The 19,244-nt window shown below is 39.9% G+C and overlaps 1 protein-coding gene across 14 annotated transcripts in view, besides 4 other annotated features; it reads right to left on the bottom strand.

Annotated features, from left to right (window-relative positions):
- Positions 1–11,868, bottom strand: part of ZDBF2 (zinc finger DBF-type containing 2) — a 39,765-nt gene extending 27,897 nt beyond the window's left edge. For 4 of the 14 annotated variants that reach the window (XM_017004573.3, XM_047445300.1, NM_001369654.1 and 1 more), the window contains exons 1-4: positions 11,585–11,868; positions 6,939–6,991; positions 5,938–5,981; positions 4,622–4,730 (exon numbers count right to left, since the gene is read on the bottom strand). Coding sequence is in view for 11 of the 14 variants with exons in the window: in NM_001369654.1 (NP_001356583.1) it covers positions 4,622–4,681 (60 nt within the window). In the remaining 3 variants the exon portion in view is untranslated. Of the gene's footprint in view, positions 1–4,621; positions 4,731–5,828; positions 5,982–6,938; positions 6,992–11,350; positions 11,522–11,584 lie in introns of those variants that run through there. The other 10 variants (NM_001285549.2, XM_005246713.4, XM_047445282.1 and 7 more) reach the window with 9 other exon arrangements.
- Positions 11,011–11,510: an enhancer, noted in NCBI's record as "H3K27ac hESC enhancer chr2:207139745-207140244 (GRCh37/hg19 assembly coordinates)". NCBI's record gives its function as "activates a minimal SCP1, AML or CMV promoter by ChIP-STARR-seq in naive H9 embryonic stem cells {active_cell/tissue: H9 hESC(naive)}" and the evidence as "EXISTENCE:reporter gene assay evidence [ECO:0000049][PMID:30033119]".
- Positions 11,011–11,633: a biological region, named in NCBI's record as "H3K27ac hESC enhancer GRCh37_chr2:207139745-207140244".
- Positions 11,174–11,633: a silencer, noted in NCBI's record as "silent region_12268". NCBI's record gives its function as "represses an Ori minimal core promoter by ATAC-STARR-seq in GM12878 lymphoblastoid cells {active_cell/tissue: GM12878}" and the evidence as "EXISTENCE:reporter gene assay evidence [ECO:0000049][PMID:35858748]".
- Positions 11,914–11,973: a silencer, noted in NCBI's record as "silent region_12267". NCBI's record gives its function as "represses an Ori minimal core promoter by ATAC-STARR-seq in GM12878 lymphoblastoid cells {active_cell/tissue: GM12878}" and the evidence as "EXISTENCE:reporter gene assay evidence [ECO:0000049][PMID:35858748]".

The following is a 19,244-nucleotide window of genomic DNA, read 5'->3' as shown; positions in this document are numbered from 1 at the left end:
AAAAAGATATTCCATGCACTGGAAACCAAAAGTGAGGAGGAGTAGCTACATTTATGATAGATAAAACAGACTTTAAGTCAAAAACTGTAAAAAGAGACAAAGAGGGCCATCATATAATGATAAAGGGATCAACTCAGCAAGAAGATAAAACAACTATAAATATATATGTACTCAATACCAGAGCACCTAGATAAATAAAGCAAATACTATTAGACTGGCTGAGGACTTGATTATCACACTCTCAGAATTGGACAGATCATCTAGATAGAAAATCAGCAAAGAAACACTTGATTTAAACTGCATTTTAGACCAAATAGGCCTACCAGATATTTACAGAAGATTTCAACCAACAGCTACAGAATACACATTTGCTTCATCAGCACATGCAACATTTTCCAGGATAGGCCACATATTAGGCCACAAAGAGGTCTCCAAATACAAAAGAATTGAAATTATATCAAGTATCTTTTCTGACCACAATAGCATAAACTAGAAATCAGTAACAAGAGGAACTTCTGAAAATGTACAGATATGAAACAAAACAGAAAACCCAGAAATAAATCTATGTATTTGCAGCCAACTGATTTTTGACAAAGGCACCAATACCATAAGTTGGGGGAAAGAACAGCTTCTTTAATAAATGAAGCTGAGAAAACTGGATATCTATATGCAGAAAAGTGAAACTAGACCCCTATCTCTCACCATACACAAAAATCAACTCAAAATGTATTAAAGACATATATGTAAGCCCCAAAACTATGACACTACTAGACGAAAACACAGGGGAAATGCTTTGGGACAGTGGTCTGGGCAAAGATTTTACGGAAAAGACCTCGAAAGGACAGGGAACAAAGCAAAAATAGACAAACTGGATAATATCAAACTGAAGCTTTTGCACAGCAAAGGACAATCAACAGAGTGAAGAGAGACTTCAACAGACTGAAGAATGGGAGAAAATATTTGCAAACCATTCATCCAAAAGATGATTAATACCTGGAATATGGAATACTCAAACAACTCAATGACAACAAAAGGAAATAATCCAACTTAAAAATGGGCAAATAAGCTGAAAAGACATCTCTCAAAAAGTCATATAAATGGCCAACAAGTATATTAAAAAATGTTCAACATCACTAATCATCAAGGAAGTGTAAATCAAAACCACAATGAGATATCATCTCACTTCAATTAGAATAGCTATTATCGAAAAGACAAAAAATAACACACTGGCAAGGATGCAGAGAAGGGAATTCTTACACACTGTTGGTGGGAATACAAATTATTATAGTCATTATGGAAAAGAGTATAAATGTTCTCAAAAACCTAAAAATATAACTACCATATGGTCCAGCAATCCTACTGATTAGGTATTTATCCAAAGGAAAGGAAATCAGTATATCAAGGAGATATCTGCATCCCCATGTTTATTACTACAGCACTGTTCACAATAGCTAAGATATAGAATCAATCTAAGTGTCCATCAACAGATAAAAGAAAAAAGGGGCCAGGCGCAGTGGCTCACGCCTGTAATCCCAACACTTTGGGAGGCTGAGGCAGGTGGATCACCTGAGGTCAGGAGTTCGAGACCAGCCTGGCCAACATGGTGAAACCCCATCTCTACTAAAAATACAAAAATCAGCCAGGTGTGTTGGTGCACTCTTGTAATCCCAGCTACTCGGGAAGCTGAGGCAGGAGAATTGCTTGAACCCAAGAGGCGAAGGTTGCAGTGAGCCAAGATCATGCCACTGCACTCCAGCCTAGGTGACAGAGCAAGACTCCATCTCACACACACACAAAAAGGAAATGTGGTATATATACACAGTAGAATACGATTCAGCCATAAAAGAAGAAAATCTTGTCATCAAAGTTGTGCTCGTAAAACTAGAGAATAGAATGCTGATTACTAGAAGCTGGGAAGAAGTCAGGGAAGAGAAATTGGGAGAGGATAATTAATGAATACAAAATTAAAGCTAGATAGGAGAAATATGTTCTAGTTGTTCTAAAGTCCTATACAACACTGTAGGATGACTATAGTTAATAATAATTGATTGTAAATTTCCAAACAGTTGAAGAGAGGATTTTAAATGTTTCCAACACAAAGAAATGATAAAAGTTTGAGGTGATGAGTATGCTAATTACCAATTTGATTATTACACATTATACACATGTATCAAAATATCACACTGTACCCCATACATATGTATAATTATAAAAATAATAAAAGTAAACAAATCAATATAAATACATACATACATACATACATCCACTATGGGTAGCACAGGGAGAGCTCTGATGCGCATGAATTTTAACATGATTTCTATGAAACAGATTTAATTTTACAGACTCAAAAAAAAAAGTATAGCCCTATCTCACACCCTATACAAAAATGAACTCAAACAGATAAAAGACCTAAATGTAAGAGTAACTGTAAAACTCTTAGAAGAAAACATAGGCATAAATCTTCCATCCTGAGATTAGGCAACCCTTCTGACACCAAAAAACATAAGCAAAACAGCAAAATTTAAAACTTTTGTGCATCAAAACATAGCATCATGAAAGTAAAAAGAAGGCCAGTTGTGGTGGCTCACACCTGTAATCCCAAAATTTTCAGGGGCCAAAGCAGGAGAATCACTTGGGCCCAGGAGTTTGAGACCAGCCTGGGAAATATAGTGAGACCCCATCTCTACAAAAAATAAAATATTAGCTGGGTACGGTGGTGCACACCAGTAGTCCCAGGTACTTGGGAGGCTGAGGCAGGAGAACTGCTTGAGCCCAGGAGGCAGAGGCTACAGTGTGCCATGATCGCACTACTGCCCTCCAGCCTGGGCAATAATGCAAGACCCTGTCTCAAAAAAAAAGAGTAAGTAATAAGACAACCCACAGAATGGAGAAAGTATTTGTAAATCATACATCTGATAAAGGTCAATTATCCAAAATATATAAAGACTTCTACAACTCAACAATAAAAAGACAACACAATTAAAAATAGGAAAAGGATATGAAGAGGCATTCCTCTAAACAAGATATACAAATGCCCAATGAAAAGACACTATATGTCATTAGGGAAATGCAAATCAAAGCCAAAATGAGATACCATCTCACATCCACAAAGATGGCTATAACAACAACAACAACAACAACAAAAAACAAAACAGACAACAACAAGTGCTGACAAGAACGTGGAGAAACTGGAACCCTCATACATTGCTGGTGGTAAGGTACAGCCACTTTGACAAACGGTGAGGCACCCTCTCAAAAAAGTTAAACACAATTACCACATGACCCAACAATTCCACTCTACATGTAAACCTAAGAAAAGTGAAAGCATACGTCCACACAAAAACTTGTACACATATATCCATAGCAGCACTATTCATAACAGTCAAAAAGTAAAAACAACCCAAATATCCATAAATTGCTCAATGAATAAACAAAATGTGATATATCCATGCAATGGAACATTGTCAGCCATAAAAAGGAACGAGGTCGTGATGCATGTTACAGCCTGGATGAACCGTGAAAATATTACGCTACATTAAAGAAGCCAGACACAAAAGGCCACACAACGTTTGATTCCATTTACACGCAATATCCAGAATAAGCAAATCTATACAGACAGGAAATACACTAGCGGTTGCCAGGGGCTGGTGACAGAAGGGAGGAGTGAGTTACTGCTCAGTGCGTACAGGGTTTCCTTTTAGGGTGATTAAAATGTTCTGGAATTAGACAATGGTTGTACCACTTTGTGAACATAATAAAACATCACTGAATTATACACCTTAAAGGGTCAAGTTTATGGTGTATGAGTTATATCACAATAACAAAATTTTTAAATCTCTATACCAACTATTTTTCCCTCAGCAGCCAGAATGAACCTTTTAAAACACAAAGTAGACGATTTAACTCCTATGCTCAAACTTTGAGATGCTCTCCCATCTCACTTGAAATAAAATTCAAAGTCCTTACCTTAGCCTACAATGTCTTAAAGAATCGACTTCTCCGATTTGGGTAATGGGTATACTAGAAGCCCAATCCCCAGCAGGTATGCAATATACCCATGTAACAAACAAGCCCATATACCCCCTGAATCTAAAATACAGAATTGATTTGTCTGAATTCTTTGCCTATTACTTCTCACCCACCTCCCCACATCCATGCAGCCACCGGCCTCCTGGCTCTTCGTTAGTGTGCCAACCACTCTGTACCCTCAGGGTCTCTGTCTCTTCCCTCTACCTAGAAAATCTTTCCCCAGATAAATGCAAACCTGAGACCCAAACTCCAAATCTCAACTCAATGTCACTTCCTTAAAAAGGCCTTACCTGGCCACCCTACCCCTTCCCTATTTTGTTTTCCTCATAACATTTATCACAATCTCACGCATTATGTACTAAATTTATATATTATTTATCTTCTGTCTTACTATACTAGAATATAAGCTTCATGAAAAAAGAGGCTTGGTTTTTGTTCATGGTCATATCCCTAGAACCTTAAACAGTGTCTGCCAACTAATAGATTCCCAATATGATCTGTTCAATGAATAAATAAATTAATTTAATAAAATGTAAGAGAAAGTCACAACTAGGTCCTTTGAGATATTATCATATTAATAGAAACCGCTCACCTGTTCCAGGTTATTATACTGCACACGGCAATAACTGCAATATCCTTGTCTTTTCTGCATCTTGAATAAATAACTGAAGTCAGATGGCTACTGTCTTTGAATACTCAAGCTGAAAAACAAAAAGAAAAATGGTAAAAATCATAATTCCTTACTCTTATGAGGAAAATGGCTATGATAATTAGCAGAAAACAGAAATTCACTTCTAATAATTAGGAAAATATACAAGGCTGCCATGAGCCACTGAATAAATAAGTGAACCTGGAGCAGAGACAAGAACTATGTATCTTATGAAAGAGCAGTTTGTTGCCAATGTTTGAAGACTAGATGACTGAATATTTAGTTTTTCTAATAACTTATTAGAGATATTAGATATTGATTTAGTAACAAAGAATACAATATTCAATTTGCGAAGACCAATTACTTCTAAGATATTGTTATGGTATATTTACTATACTCTAATGGAGCTCATTAATTTCCCCATCATGTTTCCATATCAAACCCCAGATTATTTGACAACGTCTCATTCTCTGTTATCATGAGTGTAAAGACACCACATGGCATTTTCTGCTCAGCTCATAGAGAGGCAGGTTTTTAAATAATTTATCCAACACAGTTGCTAAAAATCAGAACAACTAATTTAGCCTCTGAAACACAAAACACTTTTCTTCTGACAATTATGTAAGCCAGATAAATAGGAGGGATTTTTTTCCTATTACTGTTTAGATTTCTCTACAAATAAATAGTTTTCCAGTTTCCACTCACCTAAAAGTATAATCCTTCAACATTACATACTGCATGGTTCCCAAACCAGGCTGAATACCCAAAATTTTAGTAGAGCTAGGGTGAGCCTAGGATTCAGAATTTTTAAAATTCCCCCAGTAATTTTCATGCCCTACCAATGTATTAACTGACACAATGTACATATAATTTATGATTATTTTAAGTAAAAAATTTAATGCAGTTTATTTGCTGCTTTGTTAAGCCGAAAACAGAATTACAAATAATTTTGTATTTCAATTAATTTAAGCATTCTTATCTGTTGGAAAATATATAACAATCATTCTATAACATGTTATGAGAATTTCTGCAATGGAAAAAATTTAATCATTAAAATCAATAACTGAAAAATGAAATCACAGCCTTAAAACCATAAGATGAGGGGAAAAAAGCTTCATTAAGTCAAAATGCTAGCATAATATTTACTTACCTATTACTTCTTATTATGAGAAATTGATTTTCTGACTTCTCACATTTATGAGGAAAATTAATCAATTAAACCAGCCTCTGACACAAAAAACATGTAAGACATTACTTACTTAAAATTTGGTCTCTTTTCCACTAATTTACTTCACTTATTAACCTACAGCAATAAAACAGAACAAACTTTTATTTTAAATTGTACTTACACATAAGGCAAATTTCAAGCTGAGAGAACCTAGAGCTTAAATGTAAACTTTGAAAAATCCTAAAATAAACTTTTGGGGGATTGAAAATATAATTAAAACATTCATTGAATAAAGGACAAAAGTAAACCATTAATCTAATATCACATACACACAAAATGTAAATACTTAAATATTTTTGGTCTTTAACCCTATGGCCCTTAACTCCTGTGGCATTATCACCTGCCACTTCCGTCATCTCTAGTGCCTTAATGACAGTGAGTTACAATAAACCAGAAGCATGTGTTGGCATTTTTAAAAATTAACATGCCAGGACCCCATCAGAAACTTAGCAAATCAAAATCCCAGTGGTCAAGGGAACCCAGGACATACGTTATAAAGCATATTTAAAATGCTCAAGGCAGCTGGGCATGGTGGCTCATGCCTGTAATCCCAGCACTTTGGGAGGCCGAGGCAGGTGGATCGCCTGCGGTTAGGAGTTTGAGAACAGCCTGGCCAACATGGCAAAAACCTGTCACTACTAAAAATACAAAAACTAGCTGGGTGTGGTGGCAGATGCCTATAGTCCCAGCTACTCGGGAGGCTGAGGCAATAGAATCGTTTGAACCCAGGAGGTGGAGGCTGCAGCATGCCGAGGTCACACCACTGCACTCCAGCCTGGGTGACAGAGCGAGGCTTTGTCTCGAAAAAATAAAATAAAATAGAATAAAATAAAATGCTCAAGGTGATTCTGCTGTAAGTTGACTCAATAACATAAGTCATTATTTTTTATAAACTAATAAAACTTATTTATTAAAGGGATCATTTCTTTAGGGTCTGGATTTATATTACTTTGCATGCCTAAATAGGTATTTTTATACAAACTCTGAATTCTCCTAGAACCTGATATTTTTATAAAGTAAAAAATTATTTACCTGGAGCAGAAAAGGTCAGGTATTTCATCAGCTGTATTAGTTCTGGCAAGTATCTGTAAATTAAAATAAAATCATTTTTTAGAAGAGGTCCCATAAGTGTCTACCATTGACCAAATAAATACATCCAGATATATTGTGAACGGTGACATGTTTCCAATAATATAAGAAAAAATATTAACTTTGGAGTACAAAGCACTTTACATACTATGACTCACTGAATCTCACACATGACCTCCTAAAGTTCTGGCGCAGTGACTGTGATGGCCCATCTAACCCACCATCAAACACTGCAGGTCTCTAGGTTCCTGGAACAGTAGCTGTAAAAGACTATAAGGCTCAATTGTGCCTCTGGTAAAGTTGAGAGCAAAAATGCTGTCAAACCCAAAATGAGCTTCATGAGAAACTTCCCGAGGCTCAGGTACCACGTTAGCTTTAATGAAAAATACTGTCAATTCTTTTAACACCTATCTATATCAATACACTATTAAGCAGAAGCATGTTTTTTATTCCTCCGCATTGTTGTAGGCAAAGTGCTGCTCCTTATCCAGGATCACTGGTTAAGAAAAAATTCCAACACATAGGCTCAAGAGAGCCAGTGACACCACGGTATAATCAAAGAATAACTATTAAGCACCCACTCAGCACAGAGTTCCATGCTAGAAACTTTAAGGGATAGAGACAAATATGAGACAAGTTTTCTTACCCTCAAAAAATTTAAAATGAAATTGGGAAATTAAAGCCAAAGAATGAGGTGCTGCCTAAGAAATGCCTCAGCAAAAATAATAAATGCTAATGAGTTCAACGCAAAGTTCAGTTTTAGCTAGAGCGGCGAGGGATGCCACTGTGGATACGGTTTTTTAACCAGATACTGGAAAATGGGTAGGATTTACTCACTCAAAGGTTGGGAAATGATACAACAAGCAAAGGTACGAAAGTAAGAAAATACAAAGTACATTTGGAGATAGTAAATTAATAAATTCAGCTGAATCTAAGGTTTCATTTGAGAATTTAAGGGGCAATAAACCAGGGCAAGTAGATTGGATTTTGACATGGTAGTATTCAAAAGCATACTAAAGAATTTAGACCGTATCTTTAGGCACTGTGGAAGTTTTTTTGGAAAGAGGTATTCTTGAGGGTGCTTTAAGAAAATTCTGGAAAAATGATTCTCTCCTACTCAAAGGAGCTTTTCAAAGCGTAAGGGATATAACTATTAACTACTCAGCACCATTTCCTAAAATACTGGAGAATTACTTAATTCCCGAAATCTCCAAGTTAAGAGTCAGTATCCCTTAAAGCATAGTCATGTATGCTTACAAAATAAGAAAATACACATTTAATTTTTCTTTAAAAAATGACTTTTATTAATTTTTATTACAAAAGTAAAGCATTTATAATAGTACAATTATAAAAATAAAGAGCATAAAAATCAGCCATAATCTACCCACCATTAACATGTATCGTATTCGTCTTTGTTCTAAACATATTTTTACAAAAATGGGAAGGTACAGTACATTCTATTCTATAGCCACCCTCTCTCACTGAACCACATATAATGAGCACCTTCATATACCATTATAAAATGCTATCATAAAATAGGAGAAAATAGAGTAAAATAAAATAGAATGTTTAATGATTGCATAGTATTTCATTTTGTCAGTGTAGATAAAAGCCCTGTCAAGACAAGAACCAGTAGTTGGTGGGTTAACTTCTTAAAGTCAATCAGTAAGATAATTTTTTAAATGCACACATAACCTTAATATTTAACTTAAAACTTCTAAATGTATATATGTTTAAGATCAAATGGGGCTTTTTTGTTTCATTGGTATTTTTAGTATGGGGACTGTTGCTTTTTTTTTTTTTTTTGGACAGATTAGCTAGAGTTTCGAGACATGTCTTTTCACAAACAACATCGTAATTCACCCGAGTTTCCATTTTTGTTCCTCTAAAGCAGAACAAAAATCTGAAGGCAGTTTCAAATCTGAGAGCAGAATTATCATCAATGTTAAACATTTTTCCCCAATGTCATACCCAGTTAAGTACTTTGCAAATATAGCCTTTTTATGAATCCAAAGCATTCTATTTATTTTTCATAAAAATAATAATGCTATTTTTAAAAAATGACTATGTTCACCTTCTTATTTCATTCATTTATGTAACATTTAAAATTGCATAAACCTATCCCAGGCAGTGAACAGAGATTTCTGAGCTACCCAGATGACTTAGGCAGAAATGTCTTAAAATACAAATAAAACAGCATTTTGTTTTTGGTTTTTTTTTTTTTAAAGAAATATTTCTTGCACACCTGAGATCTGCACCAGCTGCAGAGGTAAACATGGATAAAAATATTTCTGAAATGAGTCTGGAGTTGTCGTGTGTGTATTTCTCAAACTGAGTGTGGCGTGGCAGTGTGGTAAGAACTAACAAAACCCACAATCCTCATAAAACATATTTTTCAACTGCCTGACAAAAGAGACATCAACTTAATTTGAAAAATAATAATAATAAGGAAAGACAATAGAAAGGCATTTGGTTTTCTGAATAAGACAATCTAAATTTTCCGTCCAGCAGTAGGGAAACAATTGAGGAGCAATGACAAAACAATGGCCGAATGCATAAAAAGACCACACTAATTCAGTGTCAGTTCCTCCACACAACACTACTAATTTTCAATTTTCCCCTTTTCTGGATTATCCACGCTATGCTGGCTTTCCTCTGGTGACAAGCATTATCCTAGACACCTCTATTCAGTCTTAATAAAATAATAATAGCTAATACTTAGTACTTAATCTGAGCCAGGCGCTCTGTCAACAGCTTCCTGTGCATTATCTCATCTAAATAACAAACAGCTTTATAAGGTAGCTGCCATGATTAATTCCCATTTAACAAATCAGGGAACTGAGGTTGAGAGAAAAGAGGTATCTTGTTGCAGGTCTCACACCAATAACCAGCGTAACTGAGATGTGATCACTGGTCAATTTGAGTAGTTTATGCTTTAACCTCTTAACGACTTAGACACTTCCTCTCTGTATTTTTAGGAATACTACTTGTTTTAATATTAGGTGAAAACAAATAATTAGGACTCTTATTTGCTGCAATCAACATCACCACTATTCCAAAGAAAAAATAAAACTAATGTCTAGTTTAATTGCATCTTGCTCATTTGAGTGCTGACAGTACCTTGGATTAGCGACTCTCAAGATTATTTAACATGACACACAGGAACCAATAAATTTTTAATTACAACCGAGCACACACGCACAGGCACATACGCACACTTAAAAGATTTTTCACAAAACAATACTCTCATTACATGTAATGCAGTCTGATATTTTCTATGCGATCTTACTTTTTTTAATGCTAGTCACGACCCACTAAATTTCACAATGCACACGCGCACAGTTAAAATATTTTTCACAAAACAATACTCTCATTACATATAATGCATTCTGATTTTTTTATGCGATCTTATTTTTTTTTAAATGCTAGTCATGACTAAATTAATTTCACCATTCACGAACCGGCTGAAAAAACTCAGTTTGAAAAAACACTGCCTCCAATTATTATGCAGAGTAAACCATATTTTATAGAAACCAGTTCTTACCCTGAATTCAGCTTATTTCTATCCAAATCACTGGCCACTGCAGTGATACTTTATCAACTCTCTAACGAGTTGCTTTCTTGCCTTCTAGGCTTTAGGTTCAAACGATAGAGAAAAGGTCTTCCACGTATTAAGTGAAAAAAGCAAATAAACACCCCTTATGTAACACACGTATATATGTTTGTGTATTAATTAAAAAGGAAGGAAAGATACCCCCCAAATTGTTAGCAGATTCTCTCGAGGATGAGATCGCTACAGGCTGCCTCCATCGTCCCTCCCCCTCCCCACACGTAGCATATTGCTGTAAAAAAGAAAAACAAAAACAAGCTATTTCCTTTAGGTGGGGGTGGGGTTTTGGTCCCTTGAGAACCAGTATCTTGTTATGCATTTTTTTCACGAGCTACCAAGAATCATCGCGTGAGATAATCGCAGGAGCTGGTAAGGCCCTTCTTAGGAGCAAGTAAAAACGATGGCGTAACACGACCACATTTACACAACTGTTGCACGGCGGTAGTAAAAGAATCATTAACACAAAAATCAAACGTTTTCAAATAAACTATAATCGCCCGAGGCTGGGAAAGGCCTAGGTCTGGGGCCAGCTGGACCCAACGCAGGGCACTGGGGGAAGGGGGTGTGTGGACAGGTGGCTCGGGATCTCGGCCCCACAGGTGCCCAGGGGCAAGACTCCGCGGGTTCCCGGCCCTCAATCCGACCCCGCAGACCGCCCCCTCCCCAAGCCCGGACCCGAGGCCTCGTCCGCCGGCCCCTCTGACCCAGGGCCCCGGACAGAAGCGCAATGCAGCCTGCGCCCCACCTCCTTCCCTCGCCCCGCCACCTCGATCCCGGCCCGGAGCCGCCGACACCTCTCACGCAGCAGGGGCAGAAAGGGACGCGGGGTGGGGGGAAGCCGAGGACCTGCGAGGCGGCCGCGGGAGCCCAGCGAGCGGTCCTGGCGTCCCTCGGGAAGAAGGCGCCCCGGGCGCCCGGCGAGCAGGCCCCGCCCGCGGGCGTCGCCCCGGCCGCGCCCCGCCCCCGCCGCGGCACTCACCTCCGCGGAGGCTGCCCGGATTCCTTCCGGGCCGCGGTGGAGACCGAGGACCGAGCCGGGCGCTCTCCCTTCTTATTCCGGTTCCGCGGCGGCGCCCGAATCCCAGACCGTCCGAGCGCCACGGCCCCGCTGCCCGCGGAGCCAGAAATAGGCGACTTCGGCCCCTGCGGTCCGGAGGCGAGAAGCGGCGCGGGAGCGCGTCTCTCAGGACGCGGGCCCCGAGTCGCGACTCCACTCACGCAGGCATCCAAGGCAACGTGGCGTTGCAACCCTGATGGAGGTTTGACGTCAGGGAAGGTGCGAAAACCAGACCCCTTCTGACGCAGGAGCGGCGGGACCGCCCCCTGCCCGCCCACCCACTCACTCACTCTCCCACCCGGGCGGAGGAGCCCCTTCCTCCCCTCCAGAAGCTCTTAAAGCGGACACTTCCTCCCTGGTCAGGGCCCCACTCCGGAGCTTGGGAAATCTATCGCGTTCCAACAAAAATGACTAGACTCATAAGCACAGTTGGGACGCGAAGTAGAGACCAAGGTTTTAGCGTTTGAGGGTCCAAATAAAAACTGCTTGCCAATTCAAAGCAACGTATGAATGTAGAAAAGAAAACGGGGCTAAGAGAGCTAGTCGTTTCCGTTTCCATGCCTATTTCATAGTGAGGTGCATCTCACAAAAGCTGCTGTTCAATGAGCGCTTGCTCTGTGCTAGGCACCGTTTAAGGTTTCTATACATTATTGCATTTCATTTCAGAGTAACTCTGAATGAATCCTATTATTGTCCCCCTTTGACAAATTGAGAAAACTGAGGCTTAAGGAAGTTAGGTATTCAAAGATCTATCCTGCACATTAAAGGGTTACAAATATTAACAAACAACATTAGGTCATGCAATTATATTCACTGCGCTACCCCATTACGAATATAGTTGTGAGCAAAAACAGTTTAAGTGTAACGGAGATCACAAACCTAAATGAATCACACTACTGAATATGAAATTATAATCTGCGATAAGAAGGTTCTGAAACACCTAAACCAATTTTACTAAAATGGAGAGAGGCCCTGTTGCAAAGCTTATGTCTAATGTAAAAATAATCTTAAAATGAGCTACTTTGCTCTTTGGCTGTAGCTGTAATTGTCGTTACCCTTTTTAGTAAGCTTGTGATTTTGTCCCTTTAAAGAACAACAACAAAAAAACTTGCCTATTGCTTTTGCGTCCATTGTTTTTATTCTTTCTGTATTTCTCAGCTCCTTCTTCCCCCACTACATCTTTCTCTCACTTTAAAGTTGGGCTCCTGCAACTGTTCGATTTATAACCTCCCTTAGATTTAACATACCAAAAAGTACGGATTTCTTTTAAGGCAAGTTTTTTCCACATCCCAACTTTGGAATTATAGAAAATCCACTATACATTGATCGAAGCACCATGACATTATGTATTTCACAGATGCTAAGCCATGTTTTTCCCCACATTTTAACATCTGTGAAATCAAGATGCATCTTATAAACTCTCGTTGACCGGGTGGCAGTACAGACCTGGTTGTCATTACCTCCACGTATTACAACGTGGATGTTGCTGTGCAGGTTGTCCTCATTTCAACTGAGATAAGTGCATTGTTTAATAAAACCCATAACCCTAGGAGGAAGGGAATTAACAGACAAAAGTCACTCAAACTTGGAGAGAGATTTTCCTAGGGAAAGAGGGAAGATTTGCCTGGAGAAGATTTTCCTAGGACCAAAAAGAGATTTCCCCAGCATTTAGAAAAGAAAGAGATGGGACTGGCTAAGAACTAGTAGTCTTCTGGGAGCCCTGAGTTACTTACCAAGTACATTCATTCTTGATGGATTTTGGGAACCCATATATGAACAGTTAAATACTAAGCCTACTTGCACCCCCCAAAAATGAAATAACTTCGATATTATTCTTGATAGCCTGATTAGTCAGTTACAACCCCTACAGCTTTTATTCAATAACACCATTGAAGGAGGAAAACAAGTCCTGAATGTTTTGCGTGAAAACACAAAATTGACATATTCAGGTGAGATCAAGAAGGTGCCAGCATCAAAACTTGCAGAATAAGATCAGCTGCTTGGAAGAAAATCCTGCATACAATAGTGCAGCATTCTTCCTTCCTTTCTCTCCCTCTCTGTTTTTTGTTTTTGTTTTTGTTTTTGTTTTGAGACAGGGTCTCCTTCTGTCACCCAGGCTGGAGTTCAGTGGCGCAAACACGGCTCACTGCAGCCTTGACCTCCCAAGCTCAAGCGATCTTCTTGCCTTAGTCTCCAAAGTGGCTGGGACCACAGGCGTGTGCCACCATGCCTGGCTAATTTTTTTACTTTTTGTAGAGATGGGGGTTCTCACTTTTTTGCCCAGGCTGGTCTCGAACTCCTGGCTTCAAGGGATCCTCCCACATTCACCTCCCAAAGTGCTGAGATTACAGATATGAGCTGTAACTGTGCCCAGCTGGAGCATTCTTAAAGTTAGATGCATCACCAACACTTTTGGTGGAAAGCTACAGCCATGGACAACTGATTCAAAAAGTGATTCATAAAAGTTGAGCTCTGGGCTTGGCGCGGTGGCTCACGCCTGTAATCCCAGCACTTTGGGAGCGCGAGGTGGGCGGATCACCTGAGGTCAGGAGTTTGAGACCAGCCTGGCCAACATGGCGAAACTCCATCTCTACTAAAAAAAAACACAAAAATTAGCCAGGCATGGTGGTACATGCCTGTAATCCCAGCTACTGGGGAGGCTGAGGCAGGAGAATCACTTGAACTTGGGAGGCGGAGGTTGCAGTGAGCTGAGACCGTGCCACTGCACTCCAGCCTGGGTAACAGAGTGAGACTTCGTCTCAAAATAAATAAATAAATTAATTAATTAAAAAAATAAATAAAATGAAAGTTGAGTTCCGAATATGAAGTTTCTGAAATACCTAAACCAATTTTACTTATATGTCTCTTTTTATGCATTCACAAGATCAATGCATAATAAATGTGTCAAAGTCTGAGAGTGCTCTTTTACTGAGTATGAAATAAAAATAGGCCAGGTATGGTGGCTCGCACCTGTAGTCCCAGCAATTTGGGAGGCTAAGGCGGGAGGATCGCTTGATCCCAGGAGTTCAAGACCAACTTGGGAAACAGCGAGACCTCATCTCTACAAAAACTACAAAAAAATCAGCCAGGCATGGTGGTGCATGCCTGTAGTCCCAGCTACTCAGGAGGCTGAAGCGGGGGAATCACCTGAGCCCGGGATGTAGAGGCTGCAGCGAGCCGTGATCGCACCACTGCATTCCAGCCTGGACAACAGTGTAAAACCCTGTCTCAAAGAGAAAAAAGAAAAGAAAAAAAGAAAAACACTAAATTACAAGAAATTGTGTTATAGTTTAGTTGGCAAAATTTTTCTTCCAACATGATACTATCATAAAACATCAAAGGGAGTGCCATTCTGCATCAGATCAGCAGTCCGCACAAACCAGATTTCCGTCTACTGGCAATGGGCACGTTTTGTGGGAGAGCTTAGTTATCTATAAGGTTAAGCTCCAAAAGTTGTAATTTCCCCCTCAATTCTTTATTAACCCATTACAGATCTAAACACATTACACATCTAAACATATTTAAAGGACCTTAGAGATCAGGATTGGGTTTGTATGTACTTCATTTCCTCCCCCAACATATTTGGTCCAGGGAGAAAAAAGTGCTGAGTATGTGTTATTTCACATGCTTCCTTCTTTTAAGGAACACCAAAACCTGCTCTTTTGTGTCTAGAAAGCACTCCAATAATGTCTACATTTTGTAAGCCATTTAAGCTAATATTAGGCTAATGTCTTAAGGAAAGGCTATTTGGAAAAAACAAGATCTCATAGCTGGGTCATAAAAGAATTGAGATTTCACCAATTTAGAGTGTGGACTATGTCTTTTCCCAAATTCTATTACTGTGTGCTTCATTCTACCTATTTACAGTCAGGTGAGGTCATTATAAAGCTTTTACCCCGAAGCCTGGCATGTTAGGTCTTTAAAAAGTAAAATGTTTTCTTTAAGCATAAAGGGATTCATGCACATGCCCCATCCAAATCATTATTTTAAAATAATTGTGGGCCGGGCACCGTGGCTCACACCTGTAATCCCAGCACGTTGGGAGGCTGAGGCGGGCGGATCATTTGAGCTCAGGAGTTCAAGACAAGCTTGACCAACATGGTGAAACCCCATCTCTTCTAAAAATAAAAATTTGGCTGGGCATGGCGGCTTGCACCTGTAGTCTCAGCTACTCAGGAGGCTGAGGCAGGAGAATCGTTTGAACCCGGGAGGTGGAGGTTGCAGGCAGCCGAGATCACACCACTGCACTCCAACCTGGAAGACAGAGTGAAGACTCCATCCCAAAAAATAAATAAATAATAAAATCAAATTAAATTACTGTGAATGGTCAGAAAATATCTTCATTTTGTCATGTTGATTCCTCCCTGTAAAACAGATAAAAGTTTCATTTGCAAGGTAGAGGGAAAGATGGTAGTGTTAAATGTCCTCATCTTCCTGGTTGTTGGAACAAAAATGTTGTTGAAGAAAATGCAGGCCGGGCGCAGTAGCTCACGCCTGTAATCCCAGAACTTTGAGAGGCCAAGGCGGGTGGATCACGAGGTCAAGAGATCGAGACCATCCTGGCTAACACGGTGAAACCCCCTCTCTACTAAAAATACAAAAATTAGCTGGGTGTGGTGGCGTGTGCCTGTAGTCCCAGCTACTCGGGAGGCTAAGGCAGAAGAATTGCTTGAACCTGGGAGGCAGAGGTTGCAGTGAGCCGAGATGGTGCTCCTGCACTCCAGCCTGAAGACAGAGTGAGAATCCGTCTCAAGAAAAAAAAAAAAAGGCAGGCTGGGTGCAGACGCTCATGACTACAGTCCCAGTTACTCAGGAGGCTGAGGTGGGAGGATTGCTTGAGCCCAGGAGGTCAAGGCTACAGTGATCTGAGATTGCATCACTGCACTCCAACCTGGGCAACAGAGTGAGACTGTCAAAAAAAAAAAAAAGAAAGAAAGAAAGAAAGAAAAAAGAGAGAGAGAAAGGAAAGGAGGAAGGGAAGGGGAGGGGAGGGGAGGGGAGGGCGCGGTAGCTCATGCCTGTAATCCTAGCACTTTGGGAGGCTGAGGCAGGCGGATCATTTGAGGTCAGGAGTTTGGGACCAGCCTGACCAACATGGTGAAACCCCGTCTCTACTAAAAAATACAAAAAAATTAGCCGGGCTTGGTGGCACGCACCTGTAATCCCAGCTACTCGGGAGGCTGAGGCAGGAGAATCGCTTGAACCCAGGAGGTGGAGGCGGAGGCTGCAGTGAGCCAAGATCTTGCCACTGCACTCCAGCCTGAGCGACAGAGCAAGACTCCGTCAAAAAAAAAAAAAAAAAAAGAAAGAAAGAAAGAAAGAAAGAAAAAGAAACAATGCATGTTAAAGTATATGGCTTTAAGTTGCAGAAGTATACAGTAGGCAGTTGCGGAATGGCAGTATAACTAAGTGTGGGGAGAAGAGTACAAGGGGAAATCGTGCAAATGAGTTATTAATAACTCCTCATCTGTCATGTAGGAATTTAATATATTATATAATGTCTACAGCCAGCAAATCACTGAATAGCAATATAAGCCTTTTTTAATATAAACATACAGATGATCCACCTAGGACAAAATAATTTTTTTAAATAGAGACCGAGTCCCACTCTGTCACCAGGCTGGAATGCAGTGGCATGTAATTCACTGCAGCCTACAACCTGGGCTCAAGCGATCATCCTGCCTCAGACTCCCAAGTAGTTGGGACTACAGGTGCACACCACCACATCAGGCCGATTTTTTTTTTCTTTAGAGATGGGGTCTTGCTATGTGGCTAAGGCTGGTCTCAAACTCGTGGCCTCAAAGGATCCTCCCACCTCGGCCTTCCAAAGCACTGGGATTACAGGTATGAGCCACACCACACCCAGTTCAAAGTAAAATTTTAAAAATAGTTGCTTCTGCTTATCAGGAGTAAATGTGGGCAAAGGAGTTGCAGGGGTAAGAAACTACAAGTATAAAATCATGATAACATTTTCCCCCACATGAATTTAAAATTATGCATAGTGTGATTTTTAACTTCTCAGCTGTAGTCTTTACATTGTATTCTTCCTTCATTCTAGTCTTTTCCACTTTACGTTGTATGGAAACATTTGTAATACACCTCCTTCATACAGGCATAGCTGGGGTGTTTGTTTCCAATAATTCTCTACCAATTGTTGCCATATTCTACTCCTTTCTCTTTTTTCTTTCTCTATTGCTCCTCTTTGTTTTTTACTCACACGTTTTTTTCTCCTCCTTTCTCTTTTCCTGCTAATAGAAACACAATCGGTAGCCCTCAAAGAGTGCTTTTAACATCTGTTGATAATTGGGGCTGAAAATGCTATGAACGTCACACTTGTTTCTTTCTTAAATTCAAAAATCATCCAAAGTTTATGTCCTCTAGAGATTTAACTTTAAAGAAAGAATTACTATTGCCTTTTAGACAACGAGGTCATCAATATGAAAACGATATTACTGGCCGAGCGCAGTGTCTCACACCTGTAATCCCAGTACTTTGGGAGGCTGAGGCGGGCGAATCACCTGAGGTCGGGAGTTCAAGACCAGCCTGACCAACATGGAGAAACCCCGTCTCTACTAAAAATACAAAATTAGCCGGGCGTGGTGGTGCATGCCTGTAATCCCAGCTACTCGAGAGGCTGAGGCAGGAGAATCGCTTGAACCTGGGAGGCAGAGGTTGCTGTGAACCGAGATCGCGCCACTGCACTCCACCCTTGGCAACAAGAGCAAAACACCGTCTCAAAAGAAAAAAAAAAGAAAACTATATTATTGAGCTGTTCTATTTAAACTCAGACATTTTCAGCAGTTAACTTGCAACAATAAAGCAATTTATATTCAAATAGAATAACTCTATAAGGAAGAATTTAGAGGCTGTGAATTCCACAGATACTATTTTTTAAAATTAATTGGTAGTGTTCAAATATTAGGATATGGTAAGGACTCCAGAAAATGTTGTTATGCTAGAGCACTACAAGTCAAATTGGATTAACTGTATGTTCTTATTTTCTGTATTATTGATGCAATTAGGGCCTTTCGGACCTGGGAAACCACCTCTCTCAGGTTTAACTCATTCCCAGAGATAACAAACAGCTTGCCTGCCAGCACGCCTTTGCTATGCAAACCAACGAATCACCTGTCCACCACCCCTAGCCATCTCCTTTTATCAGAACTCTACAGCCTGGGACACTATCCCCTGTCCTATTTACTATAGCGCCAGGTACTAGACCACCAGGGACCCACCCTATAACTCAGAATTCGCTGAAACCATGCAAACTATCTAATCCTAAATTTGCACCACTTGCTTACTTTGTTTTGCCCATTCTTTCCTGAAAATATCATAATAAAGGCTCTGCCAGCAGTTCCCCTCTCTCTACACTTCCTCACCCCAATTTGTCACTTTCCTGTGTGGCCCTGTGTAGTATGCCTGCCTCCCATGTCTTGGGAATTGTGGGTATAATAAAAAATGTGCCGGGCATGGTAGCTCATGCCTGTAATCCCACCACTTTGGGAGGCCGAGGCGGGCAGATCACGAGGTCAGGAGTTTGAGACCAGCCTGGCCAACATGGCAAAACCCCGTCTCTACTAAA

This window comes from Homo sapiens, chromosome 2, assembly GCF_000001405.40.
Source record: "Homo sapiens chromosome 2, GRCh38.p14 Primary Assembly".
NCBI classification, from domain to species: Eukaryota; Metazoa; Chordata; class Mammalia; order Primates; family Hominidae; genus Homo; species Homo sapiens.
Note: the sequence above shows the minus strand (reverse complement) of the source record. Positions and strands in the feature narration are given on the sequence as shown.